General features: G+C 43.7%; 1 protein-coding gene and 1 non-coding gene across 13 annotated transcripts in view; both read left to right on the top strand.

The window, feature by feature from the left end:
• TIPIN (TIMELESS interacting protein) overlaps window positions 1-19,584 on the top strand; it is a 50,527-nt gene that overhangs the window by 24,824 nt on the left and 6,119 nt on the right. For 2 of the 12 annotated variants that reach the window (NM_001398281.1, NM_001398283.1), the window contains exons 2-6: window positions 8,939-9,079; window positions 9,687-9,765; window positions 10,294-10,369; window positions 12,457-12,579; window positions 12,771-12,834. In NM_001398281.1, coding sequence (NP_001385210.1) covers window positions 8,947-9,079; window positions 9,687-9,765; window positions 10,294-10,369; window positions 12,457-12,579; window positions 12,771-12,834 — 475 coding nt within the window. In that variant the 5' untranslated portion in view covers window positions 8,939-8,946. Of the gene's footprint in view, window positions 1-5,118; window positions 5,752-7,772; window positions 7,897-8,938; window positions 9,080-9,684; window positions 9,766-10,293; window positions 10,370-12,456; window positions 12,580-12,770; window positions 12,835-19,584 lie in introns of those variants that run through there. The other 10 variants (NM_001398285.1, NM_001398286.1, NM_001398284.1 and 7 more) reach the window with 9 other exon arrangements.
• SCARNA14 (small Cajal body-specific RNA 14) lies at window positions 14,552-14,688 on the top strand. The gene has a single exon (NR_004388.1).

Below are 19,584 nucleotides of genomic sequence, written 5' to 3'. Positions count from 1 at the left end.
GATTCTCCTACAGGCATGCACCACCACACCCAGCTAACTTGTATTTTCAGTAGAGAAGGGGTTTCTCCGTGTTGGTCAGGCTGGTCTCAAACTCCTGGCCTCAGGTGATCTGCCCGCCTCAGCCTCCCAAAGTGCTGGGGTTACAGGCATGAGCCACCGTGTCTGGCCTAAAACGTTAAACTCTTTTAAAAGAGTTTTAATGACACGGTCTGTAGGAAAACTATATTTTATATCTCCGGTGAAATGGCTAAGAAAAACATATTCTTATATTCCTCATGTATGAAAAGAAGACAATAGGTTCTTGCTTTTTGCTGTTTTTTTTTTTTTTTTTAAATTACAGGTGGGGCACAGTGGCACACACCTGTAATCTCAGCACTTTGGGAGGCCCAGGTGGGCAGATCACAAGGTCAGGAGATTGAGACCATCCTGGCTAACACGGTGAAACCCCGTCTCTACTAAAAATACAAAAAATTAGCCGGGCGTGGTGGCGGGCGCCTGTAGTCCCAGCTACTCAGGAGACTGAGGCAGGAGAATGGTGTGAACCCGGGAAGCGGAGCTTGCAGTGAGCAGAGATCGTGCCACTGTACTCTAGCCTGGGTGACAGAGCAAGACTCCATCTCAAAAAAAAAAAAAAATTACAATAGAAAGGTTATGAAAAATGAAAAGAGAATAAGGAATACTTGGTAATGATCCTAAACTTCTAGTTTTGGATAAATCTGAACAAGGTACTAAAATGTTCAGTTTAATTTTTTTTTTTTTTTGAGACAAAGTCTCGCTCTGTTGCCCGGGCTGAAATGCAGTGGCACAATCTTTGCTCACTGCAACCTCCCGCCTCCCAGATTCAAGTGATCCTCATTCGTCAGCCTTCCGAGTAGATAGGATTACAGGTGTGTGCCACTATGCCCAGCTAATTCTTATTTATTTATTTGAGATGGTGTCTCCTTCTGTAGCCCAGGCTGGAGTACAGTGGTGCGATCTTGGCTTACTGCAACCTCCGCCTCCTGGGTTCAAGCGATTCTCCAGCCTTAGCCTCCCCAGTAGCTGGGATTACAGGCATCCACCACCACGATGGGCTAATTTTGTATTTTTAGTAGAGATGAGTTTTCACCATGTTGGCCAGGCTGGTCTTGAACTCTTGATCTCAGGTGATCTGCCTACCTTGGGCTCCCAAAGTGCTGGGATTACAGGCCTGAGCCACCTGCATCAGGCCTAATTTTTGTTTTTTCAGTAGAGACGGTGTTTCACTATTTTGGCCAGACTGGTCTTGAACTCCTGGCCTCAAGTGATCCACCTGCCTTGGCCTCCCAAAGTGCTGGGATTACAGACGGGAGCCACTGCATCCGGTGGACAATTAGTTATTGACAATATCAATGACTGACAACTGTGGTTGTAACTCAGATAAAACAACAAACAGTTAACAAAATCTTTACATTTTCTTTTCCTGCTTTTTTGTAGCGATGGGGTTTTACCATGTTGCCCAGGCTGGTCCGGGACTCCTGGACTCAAGCAATCCTACTGTCTCAGCCTCCCAAAGTGGTGGGATTACAGGTGTGAGCCACTATGCCCGGCCAAAATCTTTACATTTTCTGAAAGGGTGAAACATTCCAAAAATCATATGGATAGTTATATAAAATGTATTAATGTCTTTTACTTTTATTTTTATTTTTTAGGGATAGGATGTCCCTATGTTGCTCAGGCTGGCCTTGACCTCCTGGGCTCAAGTAATCCTCCTGCCTCAGACTCTGAAGTACCTGCGATACTACAGTAACATACCATTAAATATGGTTTTTTACTCCTCTTTACAACCCTATGAGGAAACTGGGTTAGACGGGGTGACTCATGTCTATAATCCCAGGACTTTGGGAGGCCTAGTTAGGAAGATCACCTGAGATCAGAAGTTCACGGTTACAGTGAGCTATGATTGTGTCACTGCACTCCAACTCAGGTGATCAAAAATAAAAAAAGGAAACTGAATCAGAGTTAAAAGTCACCAACCAGTAAATGACGGAACTGAGATTTAAACCTTCAAGAGTATCAGTATCTGCTCTGTTCGTTTTTGGCAGGCTGGGGGCGGCGTGGGGAAGGTGTATAACTTTTTTTAACTTCTCAGAGTGCTTTTACATTTACTTTATTAGTCAAAAAGTATAGTATATAAACTTACCTGGATAATTAAAAGAATGCCTCTTGTCTCAACAATTCAGACTACTGAAATGGACATTTCTCATTCAAATTCATGTAACTTTTAGGCCTGGTGAGGTGACTCACGCCTGTAATCCCAGCACTTTGGTAGGCTGAGGTGGATGGATCACTTGAGGTCAGTTTGAGACCAGCCCGACCAACATGGTGAAACCCCATCTCTACTAAATACAAAAAACACAAAAATTAGCCGGGAATGGTGGTGCCTGCCTGTAATCCCAGATATTCGAGTGGCTGAGGCAGAGAATCTCTTGAACCCAGGAGATTGAGGCTGCAGTGAGCCAAGATTGCACCACTGCACTCCACCCTGGGTGACAGAATAAGAATCTGTCTCAAAAACAAAAAAAACTAAATTTATGTTAATTTTATTAATTGCTTAATATTAATATATATTATCTCACAAGTATAGAAATAAAATCATAAAATAAAGGAAATGTGACACATAGATACATGTGCACACATAATTTTAGACAGAATTGGTAATTTACTTTCTATCTTTGTGTGTGTGTGTGTGTGTGTGTGTCTGTGTGTGTGTGTGTGTGTTTTGAGACAGGGTCTCACTCTGTTACCCAGGCTGGAGTGCAGTGGCATGATCATGGCTCACTGCAGCCTCGACATCCGGGACCCAGTGTTTTTTAAATTTTTTTTTTTTTTTGAGACAGAGTCTAGTTATATCACCCAGGCTGGAGTGCCGTGGTGTGATCTTGCTCACTGCAATCTCTGCCTCCTGGGTTCAAGCGATTCTCTCGCCTCAGCCTCCCGAGTAGCTAGGATTACAGGCAGGCACCCACCACACCTGGCTAATTATTGTATTTTTATTGAGACGGGGTTTCACCATGTTGGCCAGGCTGGTCTCGAATTCCTGACCTCAGGTGATCCACCCACCTTGGCCTCCCAAAGTGCTGGGATTACAGGTGTGAGCCACTGCACCTGGCTTCACTTTTTAAATTTTTAATAAAATGTTTCAAGCTACAGAAAAGTAGCTGGGTGCGGTGGCTCACGCCTGTAATCCCAACACCTTGGGAGGCTGAGGAGGGGAGGATCGCTGGAGACCAGGCGTTGGAGACCAGCCTGGGCAACATGGCGAAACTCCCATCTCTACAAAAAATTTAAAAAATTAGCTGGGTGTGGTGGTGCGAGCCTGTAGTGCCAGTTACCTGGGAGGCTGGGGAGGGAGGATCACCTGATTCTAGCTGTGATCGCACCACTGCATTCCAGCCTCAGCAACAAAGTGAGACCATCTCAAAGAAGAAAAAAAAAAAAAGACAGAGAGAAAGAAAGAAAAGTGGAGAGAATAATGCTGCCAGTATTCCCTAATTATCTTCTAGGTTTGGCAAATCTTAATGATGCTATATTTGCTTCAGATAACATTTTTAAATTTAGTTTTTTGAATAGTTAATACATTTGTATGTTCAAAAAAAATTATAGTTAAGTTCCCATCCCACTCTATCCCATATGCCACTTTCATTGCATAGGTTCTAGTTATATATTTTTCTGAGGTTGTGTGTGTATGTTTGTGTGTATACAAACAAATACAAATATATTTGGACTTACTATTTAAAAATGGAAAAGTTAACTTTTTAAAAAATGTTTTTTCTTTTTAATAGAGACAGGGTCTCAGTATGTTGCCCAGGCTGGTTTTGAATTCCTGGGCTCAAACAATCCTCCTGCGTCAGCCTCTCAAAGTGCTAAGATTACAGGCATGAGCCACCAAGTCTGACCAAATAACTTTTTTTTTTTTTGAGACAGAGTCTTGCTCCGTCGCCCAGGCCGGAGTGCAATGGCATGATCTCAGCTCACTGCAACCTCTGCCTCCCAGGTTCAAGTGATACTCCTGCCTCAGCCTCCTAAGTAGCTGGAATTACAGGTGCGCGCCACCACGCCCGGCTAATTTTTGTATTTTTAGTAGAGATGGGGTTTCACCACGTTGGCTAGGCTGGTCTCGAATTCCTGACCTCGTGATCTGCCCGCCTCGGCCTCCCAAAGTGCTGGGATTACAGGCGTGAGCCACTGCACCCGGCCCCAAGTAACATATTTTTGACATTTTTTTTTGTTTACATTCACACTCTCTCGCTTTTTTTTTTTTTTTTTTTTTTTTTTTTGCGACAAGATCTCACTGTCACCCAGACTGGATCTCCAGCTGGATCGCCAGCAGTGCGATCCTAGTCACTGCCGCCTTCAACTTCTGGGCTCAAGCCATTCGCCTGCCTGGGCCTCCCAAAGTGCTGGGATTACAGGCGAGCCACACCGCACCTGGCCAGTGTCTATGTTCAGCCCTATTTTTCCTCTCTTTACCACCTCTTTTCTCAGCTTATTATTCAATAAACAATTCATAAAACTCTGAGTTCGAAGCATTCTGCTATGAACTCTGAAGAAGCGGTAATTTCTTATTCACTATTGCTTGCCTCTGTCCTTTTTCCTCCTCCCACAACTCAGTTTTCCAAAAACCGAGACCTATTTCCAAGGTTTAAAGTGCCGGGCACAGTGGCTCACGCCTGTAATCCCAGCACTTTGGGAAGCTGAGGTGGGAAGATCGCTTGAGCTAAGGAGTTCGACACCAGCCTGGGCAACTAATCCCCGTCTTTGCAAAACAAACAAACAAACAAACAAAAACCCATTAAAACAAAAATTCGGTGTGGTGGTGTTAGTCGGGGAAGGGAGGCTGAGGTGGGAGGATCGTTTCAGCCCGGGAGGTAGAGACTGTAGTCAGCCGAGATCGAATCACTGCTCTCCAGCCTGAGTGATAGAGCGAGACTTAGTCTCAAGAAAAAAAAAAAAGAAAAACCCCAGAATAACAAGTATTAACTTTATGCAAATAAGGAGGCTTAACTGAGTTCCTCTGAAGAATTCAGTAGGGCGGAAATTGTGGGACCGAAGGCGGGACCGGCGTGCTGGGCGGAACCTGAGAGGCGGGTTTTGCAGGCTCCGCCCAGCCCCCCGCACGGATTTGGCGCCAAACGCTGCGGGCCCTTCTCGCCCCAGGAGTTCCCGAGTATCGCGAGAAGCGCGCTTAGTCTGCACGCCGAGGTCCGCGCTGTGTCCCGTGTTTTCTGCGTGAGGTGAGAGCTGGCTGGCGGGCCAATGAAGTTCTTGCGGGGAGAGGGGAGTCGGACTAGCCAGGGAGCCAGATGGAAGAGCCAGGGAGCCAGACAGACTAGCGGGAAAGCCTAATTGTCGCAGGAAGGGGGTCAGGAGGTTGGGGGGTCGACCTGACCCGGCCTGGAGAGGCGGGGAGGTGGGCGCGTGTCCCGGTTGCTTAGGTTTTGGGATGCCTCTTACTCTGCCAAGCCGCTTAGCGGGAGGGAACGTGTTCCTGATCATCTTTACCCCAGGCTTCTGTCCGGGGCGTGTCAATGTAGAAATCCCCCAGCGAATGTTGGATGAATGAATGAAGTTGAAGAGAGGGTAGGCGGGGAACGAGGATGAGGGGGACGGCTGGAGAAGAGGTATGGGAGGTTCGATGTTTCAGGGATGGCACCCAAGGGGGACATCGAGGCAGCACGGTAGCACTTCCTTTGCGATGAGGGGCGTCTCTTTGGACTTCTTGGAAAAGAGGTGGGCATTGGAAACCAGGGTCTGGGAACAAACCGTGGTTTGGACATAACATTTGTTACCTTCACTCTTCTGGGAGTTGGAGAAGTAGAGGAGGAAGTTCAGACAATTTCATAAGTGTCTAAAAAGAGACAGTTATGCGACCATTGACGAGGAGTAAAAGTCGTCTATTGAGCATCTTATTCACTACAAATAGAAGAAAGAAATACCAGTTTCCTGACAAGCCCCACCCCATGCTTGGCCAGTTCCTGAGTACACTTAATATATTTTAGGTACTGTCATCAAACTCAAAGCTCGCTGTCAGCCTCAAAGGTCTGAACCCTAGTATAGATTCTTGTAGCTTGCTTGAAGTTACAGTGGGTCATGATCAGGAATTGATGCTTTGTTTTTGTTTTGAAACGGAGTCTCGCTCTTTCGCTCAGGCTGGAGTGCAGTGGCGCGGTCTCGGCTCACTGCAAGCTCCGCCTCCTGGGTTCAAATGATTCTCCTGCCTCAGCCTCCCGAGTAGCTGGGACTACAGGCGTGTGCCACCACGCCCCGCTAATTTTTTTTGTATTTTTAGTAGAGATGGGGTTTCACTGTGTTGGCCAGGCTGGTCTCGAACTCCTGACCTCATGATCCGTCCGCCTCTGCCTCCCATAGTGCTGGGATTACCGGCGTGAGCCACCGCGCCCAGCCGATGCTTTGCTTTTATATTTATGGTAACCGAAATTTAGAATTAGTGAGATTTTAAAGATCGTCTAACTCCAATTTGGGGAAACTGGAATTTTTTTTTGCATTCCATCATTCATCAAATATATATTGAGCACCTGGGGCCGGGCGCGATGGCTCACGCCTGTAATCCCAGCATTTTAGGAGGCCGAGGCGGGCGGATCACGAGGTCAGGAGATCGAGACCATCCTGGCTAACACGGTGAAACACCGTCTCTATGAAAAATACAAAAAATTAGCCGGGCGTGGTGGCAGGCGCCTGTAGTCCCAGCTATTCGGGAGGCTGAGGCAGGAGAATGGCGAGAACCCGGGAGGCGGAGCTTGCAGTGAGCAGAGATCGCGCCACTGCACTCCAGCCTGGGTGACAGAGCCCGAGACTCCTTCTCAAAAAAAAAAAAAAAAAAAAAAGATATATATTGAGCACTTGCTGTGTAACAGCATTGGGGTTCCAGCTGTGTAACACAGAGAGACTTAACCTCGTTGCCCTTTTTGAGCTACAGTCTAGTTTGGGAGACGAACAATAAATAACTGTATAAATAAAACCTGATATTGAAACTGGATAAGTGCCATGACACTTGTACTTGACACTATGAATGCTTACTAAAGAAGGATTTAGAGAAATTGAGGTAAACTTTTGAAAAGGTGATAGTTGAGATCTGGAAGATATTAGGAGTCAAGGAATAGCTTTTTCAAGACAGGAAATAGTATTTGTAAAGAGCCAGTGGCCTGAGGGATATAGCTCTTTCAAGGAAAGAAAAAGCATAGAGTAGTGTGAAGTGAGACTGGTGAGGTAGTAAGAGGCTGGATCACACAGGGCCTTGAAGTTTTGTCTTTATCTTAAGAGCAATCAGAAACCATTGAAATACTTAATCCAAGTGAGGTGATCAGCTTTATATTTTCAGATTCAGTCTAGATGTAATAGGGACAATTGAAGGAGACGAGTGGATGAGAGTAGTGGAGTAATGCAAGCAAGAAATGTTGGGAAGTGGTTATAGAGATAAGGAGAAATAGACAGATTCAAGGGATATTTAGGAAATAAGATGGGCAGGATCTGTGGGATAGGGGAAGGAATTGCTAAAGATGACTTGTAGGTTTCTGAATTGCATAGCTGGATAGATGTCATTTAATGAGTTAGGAAAATTTAGAAGTTTGGTTTTGTACCTGCTGAGTTACAGGTGCCTTTCAGGCGTTTAGGAAGTGTAAAATGGGAAGTAGTGATCTGGATCGCAGAGTCAAGGCCTAGGGTAGAGATAAAAATCAGGGAGTCATCTATAAATCAGTACTTATTAAAGCTCTGTGCATAAATGAATGAAGAAGCCCTAGGATGGAGTCTTGGATACTTAATGGCCGGGGTAGAAGATAAACCTGCAAAGAAAATCCAGGAGGAGTGCCCAGAAAGGGAGGAAAGCCTCAGCCTCCTGAGTAGCTGGGACTACAGGTGCGTGCCACAACACCTGGCTAAATTTTTTTTATATTTTTAGTAGAGACGGGGTTTCACTGTGTTGGCCAGGCTGGTCTCGAACTCCTGACCTCATGGTCCGTCTGCCTCTGCCTCCTGCTGGGATTACCGGCATGTCTTAGAAGTTAAGGTAAACATTTTTCCCAGAAAAAAACTGACCAAAAGTGTCAGTTGTTATTGAGAAGTTAAGTAAGGCAGTACTGAAAAACATTCTTTCGAGTTATCAACCTGAGGATAATTTCCCATTCAGGAAACCTTACCTAGAAGACCAATATGTAAACACATTTAAAAATTTTTTTTTATTTTTAATTTTTGTGGGCACGTAGTAGGTGTATATAAACAGATTTTTTTTTTTTTTTTTGAGACAGAGTGTTGGTCTGTCGCCCAGGCTGGAGTGCAGTGGCGGCATCTTGGCTTACTGCAAGCTCCGCCTCCTGGATTCACGCCATTCTCCTGCCCCAGCCTGCCGAGTGGATGGGACTACAAGCGCCCGCCACCACGCCTGGATAATTTTTTGTATTTTTAGTAGAGACGGGGTTTCACCGTGTAGCCAGGATGGTCTCGATCTCCTGACCTCGTGATCCGCCCGCCTCGGCCTCCCAAAGTGCTGGGATTACAGGCGTGAGCCACCGCGCCCAGCCCAGATTTTTTTTTTTTAAGCAGCTCTAATTGAAGTGGGGGTGAAGTACCTATATCCTGCGTATTTCATACCCTATTGGATCACAGTTTGAAACCCTCTGAAAAGTCAAATTCATCTTTTTATGGTAGGGGAAACTCAATAGTTGAGGTAAAAGGATTTGTTCAAAATGATATAGTTATTTAGTGTTAGGGTCTACATTGGAACTTAGATTTCTAGGCTAGTCTTTTTTTTCATAATTAGTATCTTCTCTACTTTTCATGATGTGTGAGTTTGAAATGTGGTCTAACTGATTGAAACACATGAAATGGCTGCAGGTAGAACTTGTCTATATAGTGGAGACTATTTTGGATGAATACAAATAACTTTAATTTTTTCCCCTAGAGGAAAAGATGCTAGAACCACAGGAGAATGGCGTGATTGACCTACCAGATTATGAGCATGTAGAAGATGAAACTTTTCCTCCTTTCCCACCTCCAGCCTCTCCAGAGAGACAAGATGGTGAAGGAACTGAGCCTGATGAAGGTATGTATAGAGAGTTTTAAAAAGGAGGCTGTGAGGCCAGGCACGGTGGCTCATGCCTGTAATTCCAGCACTTTGGGATGCTGAGGCGGGCGGATCACAAGGTCAGGAATTTGAGACCAGCCTGGCCAACATGGTGAAATCCCGTCTCTACTAAAAATACAAAAATTAGCCGGGGTGTGGTGGCTGTGGTAAAAGGTATTTGAGGAGAAAAAAGAAAAAAAAGGAGGCTGGGCACAGTGGGTCCTGCCTGTAATCCCAGCACTTTGGGAGGCCGAGGCAGGAGGATGGCTTGAGCCCAGGAGTTCAAGACCAGCCTGGCGAGACCTCAACTCTACTAAAGATTTAAAAATTAGCCGGGTGTGGTAGGCAGCACCTGTACTTCCAGGTACTCGGGATACTGAGGCAGAAGAATCTCTTGAGCCTAGGAGTTTGAGGCTGCAGTGAGCCAAGATCGCACCACTGCACTCCAGCATGGGCAACAGAGTGAGACCCTGTTTCAAAAAAAGGTGTCCCATGTTTAGTTATCTTATCAGCTTGGAAATGATACATAATAAATAATACAAATCATTTAAGTACAGTAATACTGAATCGTGGTTTGTTTCACCAGAGTCAGGAAATGGAGCACCTGTTCGTGTACCTCCAAAGAGAACAGTTAAAAGAAATATACCCAAGCTGGATGCTCAGAGGTACATTTACTATATTCTTATACATTTATACTTTTTATTTTTAATATCCATTGTTTTTCTTCTAATGTTATAAACTTTTGGTTGGTATGATGTGGAGCTCTTATATTTCTAAAAACTTTTTTTTAGTTCAGCAGAACATATTTTTTCTTATGGTCTTGCTTTGGACCAAACTCTAGAAAACTTGAAATTAGGCTGGGCGTGGTAGCTCACGCCTATAATCCCAGCTCTTTGGGAGGCCTACGTGGGCGGATCACGAGGTCAGGAGATTGAGACCATCCTGGCTAATACGGTGAAACCCCGTCTCTACTAAAAATACAAAAAATTAGCTGGGTGCAGTGGTGGGTGCCTGTAGTCCCAGCTACTTGGGAGGCTGAGGCAGGAGAATGACGTGAACCTGGGGGAGGCCGAGCTTGCAGTGACCCGAGATCGCGCCACCGCATCCCAGCCTGGGCGACAGAGTGAGACTCCGTCTCAAAAAAAAAAAAAAGAAAATAAAACTTGAAATTAAAAACATACTTTTATTCACAGATTAATTTCAGAGAGAGGACTTCCAGCCTTAAGGCATGTATTTGATAAGGCAAAATTCAAAGGTAAAGGTCATGAGGTAAGAACTGATTTTTATGTTAGACCTTTGTTTTTTAAAATAGCAATAAAAATGTGGACCCATTATGATCTTGGAAATCTCAGAATGCTTTAAGATACTATCCTTAGTCGTCGTATGTCTTGAGAAACAGTTGTGATGTACTAGAAAGGGAACTGTTTGAAGAATTAGAAAGCATGTCTTGTGCAGTCTCATTTTTTGCTGCTTAAACCTTGGCTATAGGAAAATCACACCTGTGTCTGTAAAGTCTCAGTTTTTATTTTATAATTTACAGGAATAAAATTTACTTTGTCTACCTCAAAGTTTTAAATTTCATGAGGGCAAGGACTCTGCCTGTATCAGTCACTTATGTGTCCCCAAGATGTGGCACAGTGCCTGGTTCATAATAAATGTCAGTAAAGTGTGGTTAAAAAATGAATACATTTAGTAACTGAATCACTTTACAAATGCACATTTTGAAATCTATTTTTGAATTATGTAGGAGTGTAGGTATAATTTTTTGCAGATGATAGTATATTTTTAGAGAGTTTTGTAGTTTTTCAAGTGTTTCTAATATCTAATATATTCTTTTTTTTTTTTTTTTTTTTTTAAGACGGAGTCTTGCTTGCTCTGTTGCCCAGGCTGGAGTGCAGTGGCGCAATCTAGGCTCACTGCCAGCTCCACCTCCCAGGTTTACGCCATTCTCCTGCCTTAGCCTCCCGAGTAGCTGGGACTACAGGCGCCCGCCAACAGGCCTGGCTAATTTTTTTTTTTTGTATTTTTAGTAGAGACGGGGTTTCACCGTGTTAGCCAGGATGGTCTTGATCTCCTGACCTCGTGATCCGCCCGCCTTGGCCTCCCAAAGTGCTGGGATTACAGGCGTGAGCCACTGCCCGGCCTACTATCTTTTAACTTTATTAAGTGTTTTTTTTTTTGTTTTTTTGAGATGAAGTTTTGCCCTTGTCACCCAGGCTGGAGTGCAATGGCTCGACCTTGGCTCACTGCAACCTCCGCCGCTTGGGTTCAAGCGATTCTACTGCTTCAGCCTCCCAAGTAGCTGGGATTGCAAGTGCCCACCACCACGCCCAACTAATTTTTGTATTTTTGGTAGAGATGGGGTATCACCATGTTGGCCAAGCTGGTCTGGAACTCCTGACTCAGGTCATCCACCCGCCTCGGCCTCCCACAGTGCTGGGATTACAGGCGTGAGACACTGCGCCTGGCCAACTTTATTAAGTTTTTGTACTGGGATTTTTTTTCATCTAATTTTTATGAATCTGTATCCAGGCGGGGTGCTATGGCTCATGCTGTAATCCCAGCACTTTGGGAGGCCAGGGTGGGCGGATCACTTGAGGCCAGGAGTTCAAGACCAGCCTGGCCAACATGGCAAAACCTCCTCTCTACTAAAAAATACAAAATTTAGGCCAGGTGTGGTGGCGCACACCTCTAATCCCAGCTACTTGGGAGGCTGAGGCATGAGAATTGCTTAAACCCGGGAGGCTGAGGTTGTAGTGAGCCAAGATTGCGCCCTTGCACTTCAGCTTGGGTAAGAAAGCGAGAATCTCTCTGAAAAAAACCAAAAAAACCAAAAAAACAAAAAAAACCCCTGTATCCAGTGCTCTTTTAGACTGCAGTCCTCTAAGTTCTTAATAATTTTCTCTCTTTTTTTTGGATATAGGATCTCGCTGTCACCCAGTCTGGAGTGCAGTGGTGTGAACTTGGCTCACTGCAACCTCTGCCCCCCAGGCTCAGGGAGTCCTTTCACCTCAGCCACCTGAGTAGCTGGGTCCACAGGTGTACACCACCATGCCTGGCTATTGTTTTGTATTTTTAGTAGATATGGGGTCTCACCATGTTTCCCAGGCTGGTCTTAAACTCCTTAGCTCAAGTGATCCGTCCCCCTAGGCCTCCCATAGTGCTAGAATTACAGGTGTGAACCACTGTGTCTGGCCAATATTTTTCTTATTAAAGTTCCTTTTATAAGTTTTTCAACCTTATAAATATAAAATGACCCCAGTGATTTTGGCATAGCTTTTCAGTTCTGAAAGTTGCTGACGGGGTCAGCTGTGAGAATGAGACTCCTGTTTAGCATTTTTATTTTTATGTGGCAGGCTGAAGACTTGAAGATGCTAATCAGACACATGGAGCACTGGGCACATAGGCTATTCCCTAAACTGCAGTTTGAGGATTTTATTGACAGAGTTGAATACCTGGGAAGTAAAAAGGAAGTTCAGGTAAGTGTTGAGATGATTATAAATATCATTCACATGCTAAATGGTAGGGTAGATTTAGTTGAGGCTAAATTGCTGTTTAAAGTGTTCATTTTGAAATCTCTTTTGGTAGAGAGGGAAAAGTAATAGCAAATTATCTCCCCCCAACATGATTGGTAAAGAGGTAAAAATAAATAATCTCTTTTCATTTTCAGACCTGTTTAAAACGAATTCGACTTGATCTCCCTATTTTACATGAAGATTTTGTTAGCAATAATGGTAAGAATATAGGTTTATCTACTTTATAACAATTTTGCTTTTAGAAATAGATCTAGGCAGGGTGTGGTGGCTCAACCCTGTAATCCCAGCGCTTTGCTTTTTTGTTTCATGTTTAGGGACAGAATCTTGCTCTGTCACCCAGTCTGGAGTGCAGTAGCACAATCATAGCTTACTGCAGCCTTCAACTCCTGGGCTTAAGGGATCCTCCCGCCTCAGCCTCCCGAGTAGCTGGGACTGCAGGTGCATGCCATTGTGCCTGGCTAATTTTAAAATTTTTGTAGAGATGGGGATCTCCCTGCGTTGCCTTGGCTGCTCTCACACTCCTGGCCTCAAGCCATACTGTGCCTGGCCAACTTTTTTTTTTTTGAGCTGGAGTCTCACTCTGTAGCCCAGGCTGGAGTGCAGTGGCATGATCTCGGCTCACTACAACCTCCATCTCCTGGGTCCCAGTTCAAGCAATTCTCCTGCCTCAGCCTCCTGAGTAGCTGGGATCACAGGCATGCGCCACCATGCCCAGTTAATTTTTGTATTTTTTTTTTTTTTTTTTTTTTTAGTAGAGATGGGGTTTCACCATGTTGGCCAGGCTGTTTTTGAACTCCTGACCTCGTGATCCGCCCACCTTGGCCTCCCAAAGTGCTGGGATTATAGGCGTGAGCCACTGCGCCTGGCTTGTTATTTTTTTTTTGAAGACTAGCCACATGCAATAGTGAAAAGGGAGGAAAGAGTAGAACAAGGAGTTTGATCTGTGACTGTGAATTGATAACTCATTACCTTTGGAGCAACCCCAGTTCTTTGGGAGGCCATGGAGGTAGGATTACTTGAATCCTAGAGTTGGAGATCAGCCCGGGCAACCGAGTGAGACCCCATCTACAAAAATTTTTAAAAAGTTAATCAGGTGTGGTGGCACATGCCTGTTGTAGCTACTCAGGGGGTTGAGGCGGGAGGATCACTTGAGCCCAGGAGTTCAAGGCTGCAGTGAACCAGGATCACACCACTATACTCTGGGCAATAAATAGGGTGAGAGACCTTGTCTGGAAAAAAAAAAAAAAAAGAAAGAAAGAATAGAAGTAGTTAGAGGAGGCAGTATTATAGGACCAGATCCTTAGTCCATATTGTGTATATAATTAGAGTATGGTAAAGTACAATAAATAGATAAGTTAAAATGCCTTGGTAGTGGGCTGGGCGTGGTGGCTCATGCCTATAATCCCAGCACTTTGGGAGGCTGAGGTGGGCAGTTCACTTGAGGTCAGGAGTTTGGGAACAGCCTGACCAACATGGGGAAACCCCATCTGTACTGAAAATACAAAAATTAGCTGAGTGGGGTGGTGCACGCCTGTAATCCCAGCTACTCAGGAGGCTGAGGCAGGAGAATTAACTTGAATCCAGGAGGTGGAGGTTGCAGTGAGCCGAGATTGCGTCGTTGCAATCCAGCCTGGGTGACAGAGTGAGACTCTTGTCTCAAAAAAAACAAAGCCTTGGTACATCTAGAATGTTGTATATCAAATTTGTTGTAGAATATGAACTTTTGAAAACTCTGGTGACCCACTGATCCTATATAGCACTTGTTAATAAAAATATATATCAAGATAAAAGTGTTCATATACATATACACCATTGGATAAAGTGGTACTGGGAAATTAGGCAAAATAATTTATGATGAAAGTTTGCATTTCACTTGGAGCGCAGCTCTCGGATATAGGACTTTAGTGAGACCTTTGTGACTGTTCCTGGTATTGATTGCATTTGTTAGTTGTACAGTGCAACCATAGACAGTCACACACATTAAAACAGATGGTTCCTGCCGACAGGGTCTGTATAGTTATCAGATTTTCTGTGCGATGGCTCCATACATGTTTGTTTTTGTTTTTTAACTTTTAACAGATGTGGAAGAAAATACAGGTTCCATGTAGAATACCCTAAAGTTATTTATAAACTACTTTCAAACATGTAAAGGAATGTGATTTAGGCCGGGCGCGGTGGCTCACGCCTGTAATCCCAGCACTTTGAGAGGCCGAGGCGGGTGGATCACAAGGTCAGGAGATCGAGACCATCCTGGCTAACATGGTGAAACCCCGTCTCTACTAAAAAATAATAAAAAAAATTAGCCGGGTGTGGTGGCGGGCACCTGTAGTCCCAGCTATTCGGGAGGCTGAGGCAGGAGAATGGTGTGAACCTAGGAGGTGGAGCTTGCAGTGAGCCGAGATCACGCCACTGCACTCCAGCCTGGGCGACAGCAAGACTCCGTCTCAAAAAAAAAAAGGAATGTGATTTAAATAATCCGTGATTTAAATTTCTTGGTAAAATATGGTATGTATGGATGGCATAGGATTGGGTATATGTAAAGGAATGAGTTATTACAGTTCTAAATTCCACAGCATATACTACTGGGTTACTTTTTGAGGTGCCCGGTATGTGATAAAGGTTCAGGGCTAAAAAAATGACTACGATCAGGCCCCTTTGTGGGCAAATACAGTAGTGAATGAATCAGACATACAACATTGCCAGTAGTGTGGTAGGTGTTGTAATTAGAGGTATGAGTAGGTCGCAGGGTGGGATGCAAAGGAGAGCATAGTTACATGTCCCTGGGGGTAGAGGGAGAACTTCACAAAGGAGGATTCAGAAGAATTTTGATTTGGGGGTGAGAGGAAGAAAAAAGAAATTAAAAAGAAAAAAAGTATTTTGAATGAACAGTAGAGGTCAGGCAGAGGTGATTTTGAATGGGGGAGCCATCTATGCAGAGGTGTAAATTAACTTGGATTTCAGGCTCTATATTCTATGGCAGTAAAAAAAAAAAAAAAAAAAGATAAATTAAGGCCAGGCGCAGTGGCTCACGCTTGTAATCCTAGCACTTTGGGAGGCCAAGACGGGCGGATCACTTGAGGCCAGGAGTTCGAGACCAGCCTGGCCAACATGGTGAAACCCCATCTCTACTAAAAATACAAAAAATTAGCCTGGCGTAGTGGCACATGCCTGTAATCCTAGTTACTCGGGAGGCTAAGGCAGTAGAATTGCTTGAACCCGGAAGGCGGAGGTTGCAGTGATCCGAGATTGCGCCATTACACTCCAGCCTGGGCAAAAAGAGTGAAACTCTGTCTCAAAAAAAAAAAAAGGAGATAAATTAACATGGACCATTCAGAGAATTACAAGCATGCTGAAATATAGGGTACAAATAAGAGAACTGAATCTGAGATTTTTGTTTGTTGTGTCATATATTTAATTTGTATCTTAATAGTCTCCAAATTTTTTTGATCAGGTGCCACAGAAGTAAAAATGTTTTGACCATTTTATTTGTTGATTAAATACATTTACTTCTATACGGATGTGATTTGTAATGTACTTTTTTTTTTTTGAGACGGAGTCTCACTCTGTTGCCTAGGCTGGAGTGCAGTGGTGCGATCTCGGCTCACTGCAACCTCCACCTCAGTTCAAGTGATTCTCCTGCCTCAGCCTCCCAGTAGCTGGGATTACAGGTGTGCACCACCACACCTGGCTAATTTTTGTATTTTTAGTAGAGACAGGGTTTCATCACGTTGGCCAGGCTTGTCTCAAACTCCTGATTTCAGTTGATCCACCTGCCTTGGCCTCCCAAAGTGCTAGAGTTACAGGCGTGAGCCAGTGAGCCACTGTGCCCGGCCTAAATTTAGTTTTTGTAGTGACAGGATCTCACTATGTTGCCCAAGCTGGTCTGTATCTCCTGGCCTCAAACAGTCTGCCTTGGCCTCCCAACGTGCCGGGATTACAGGTGTGAGCCACTGTGCTTGGCCTCCAGCTGTTCCTTGGACATTTCAGGCACATTTTTATTCTAAGGCTTTTGTATTGCCGTACTCTGCCTGGAACACTCTTCCCTTGTACCCCTCAAGTCCGCATGACTGTCTTACACTCCTCAAACTGTGCTCAAATGACAACTTGGTGAAGCCTCCCCATTACACTGTTATAGTTGCATCCCCACTCCCATCATTTCTGACTCCCCTATGCTGTTTCCTTTTGCATTGCCCTTGTTTCCCTTTAATTTTTATATAGTTTACTTATGTTTTAGTTTGTCTTTACTACAATGACGGCATCCTGTAACACACTGAATATTTCTAGCTTTAGCTTCTTTGCCATAATCACTTGCCAATGAATGTTGCAGTAAATGAATTTCATGCGTACTTCTAATTTTTTAAAATTTCATTTTTATTTACTTATTTCTTTTCGAGGCAGGGCCTCACTCTGTTGCCCAGGGTGGAGCACAGTGGCATGATCATAGCTCTGCAGCCTCGACCTCCAGGGCTTAAGCAATCCTGCCACCTCAGTCTCCTGAGTAGTTTGGATTACAGGCATGCACCACCTGCCTGCCCAAGTTTTTCTTTTTTTTTTTTTTCTTTTTTTTTTTGTAGAGAAAGGGTCTCCCTATGTTTTGCAGGCTGGTCTCAAACTCCTGGGTCCATGTGATCCTCCCACCTTGGGTTCCCAAAGTGCTGGGATTATAGGCGTGAGCTGCTGCACCCAGCTTTAAATCTCATTTTAATCCTACTCAAAGGAACCAGCTGCTGCTTACAAAATATATTGTTTATATAAATAGGTCATTTACTACTGAAGATACCTTTGTTTTCTTGGTTCATAAAAAGTAGTTTTTTGCTTTTTTTTTTACTTTTTTTTGTAATAGAGACGAGGTCTTGCTATGTTGGTGATGTTGGTCTTGAACTCTTGTTCTCAAGCAATCCTTCTGCCTCAATCTCCCAAAGGGCCATGATTACAGGCGTGAGCCACCTTGTCCAGTCAAAATTAGTTCTTTGAGTTCATTTGAAGCCAGGAGTTAGGGACCAGAGTGGTCAACACCTATAGTCCCAGCTATTTAGAAGGCTGAGGCAGGAGGATCCTTTGAGTCCAAGGAGTTTGAGGCTGGAGTGAGCTATGATCATACCACTGTACTCTAGCCTGGGTGACAGAGTGAGTCCCCATCTCTTGAAAAAAACAAAAAAAAAGTAGTTATTTATGTATTTTCTTATTGATTTAGAATCCTGCAACCCTGTAAGATGAAGCACATTAAAAACCCCATGTTTCATAAGTGGTTCTTTTTTTGAGACGGAGTTTCACTCTTGTTGCCCAGGCTGGAGTGCAGTGGTGTGATCTCGGCTCACTGCAACCTCTGCCTCCCGGGTTCAAGTGATTCTCCTGCCTCAGCCTCCTGAGTAGGTGGGATTACAGTCATGTGCCACCATGCCCGACTAATTTTGTATTTTTAGTAGAGACGGGGTTTCACCATGTTGGTCCGACTGGTCTTGAACTCCTCACCTCAGGTGATCTGCCTGCCTCGGCCCCCAAAAGTGCTGGGATTACAGGTGTGGGCCACTGCGCCTGGCTCATAAGTGGCTCTAATGCTTGTTTCTTAACTGCTTCAGCAATGTTTCATACATATACTCTTATCAGTATTTCCTGACAATGGAGGCCATTTTAGTTTCTTCCTACATTTTTGTTTTCCATGTCAGGAAGGAAAAGTGGCTTTTCGTTTTTCACTATTAAGGAAGAAACCTTAAAAGGGAGTTTGATTGTAAAGGGCTGAATTAAGTATCATGATTTTTAAATCTCACTGAAATAATTGTAAAGGTCTGTCTTTATGTTTTAAATGTTTTTTTAATTGTGATAGTTTTTCTATAATTAGCTAATATTTCAAGGCATAATATATACATAGAACAAGGATAATGTATATAAATATTTCAAATGGTGACTTGAATTTTTTGACCAACTTGTCAGATGTGATGGGGTTTATCTTTCTTTTAATTTCATAATATGGATGATGTAGATAGAAGGTAAAGTGTCAGCTCTGCTGTTTTTTTTATTTTTTGCTTGTGCTTCTATTCTACCTACAGGCATTTTGTTATTTTGTAGAATCTTTTTAACCTAACACTTGTACATTTTGTTGGGGTTGTTTGGTTAAATTAGTAAGATGAAATCCATCAGTTTATTTGACTGGGCAATCAGAAACAGCTGTATATCTGACATTGTAAAGTCAGTGGGGGCCCCATTCTCCACCCTTTTACAATATGGATCTTGCCTATAGAGTGGCTCACAGATCAGACAGTAACTCTGTCATAAGGACAAGGGACAGTTAACCACTGCCAGTCTTATTTTAAATATGTTAGTAAAACATAGTTTTTCTTAATTCTTAAATGAAATATAAATGGAAGATCTATTATTTACTTTAATACCACTGTGGATCATGTTGGGGACATCCTACCTTGAGTTAACTGGTTTACAGGGCTTTAATAATGTATTACTTATAATGTAGAGCACACTGAATTTAAAAAGAAATTAATTTGGAAATATGTCCATAAAGTTTTAAATTTCTTTTCTTTTTTCATTTGTCTGTGTTTAACTCTACAAAAGATAATGTCCTACATAAAATTACCTTTTACTGGCCGGGTGCATTGGCTCACGCTTGTAATCTCAGCACTTTGGGAGGCTGAGGCATGTGGATCACCTCAGGTCAGGAATTTGAGACCAGCCTGGCCAATACGGTGAAACCCTGTCTCTACTAAAAATACAAAAATTAGCTGGGCATGGTGGCGGGTGCCTGTAATCCCAGCTTCTCGGGAGGCTGATGGAGGAGAATCACATGAATCTGGGAGGCGGAGGTTGCAATGAGCCAAGATCGAACCATTGCACTCCAGCCTGGGTGACAAGAGTGAAACTCCGTCTCAAAAAATAAAATAAAATGTATTAAAATTACCTTTTCCCATATTGACACTGGGAAACTATTGAAATGTGTTG

This window comes from Homo sapiens, chromosome 15 (genome assembly GCF_000001405.40).
Source record: "Homo sapiens chromosome 15, GRCh38.p14 Primary Assembly".
Taxonomy (NCBI): Eukaryota; Metazoa; Chordata; class Mammalia; order Primates; family Hominidae; genus Homo; species Homo sapiens.
The sequence above is the reverse complement of the archived record's forward strand: the minus strand, read 5'-3'. Positions and strand labels throughout refer to the sequence as shown.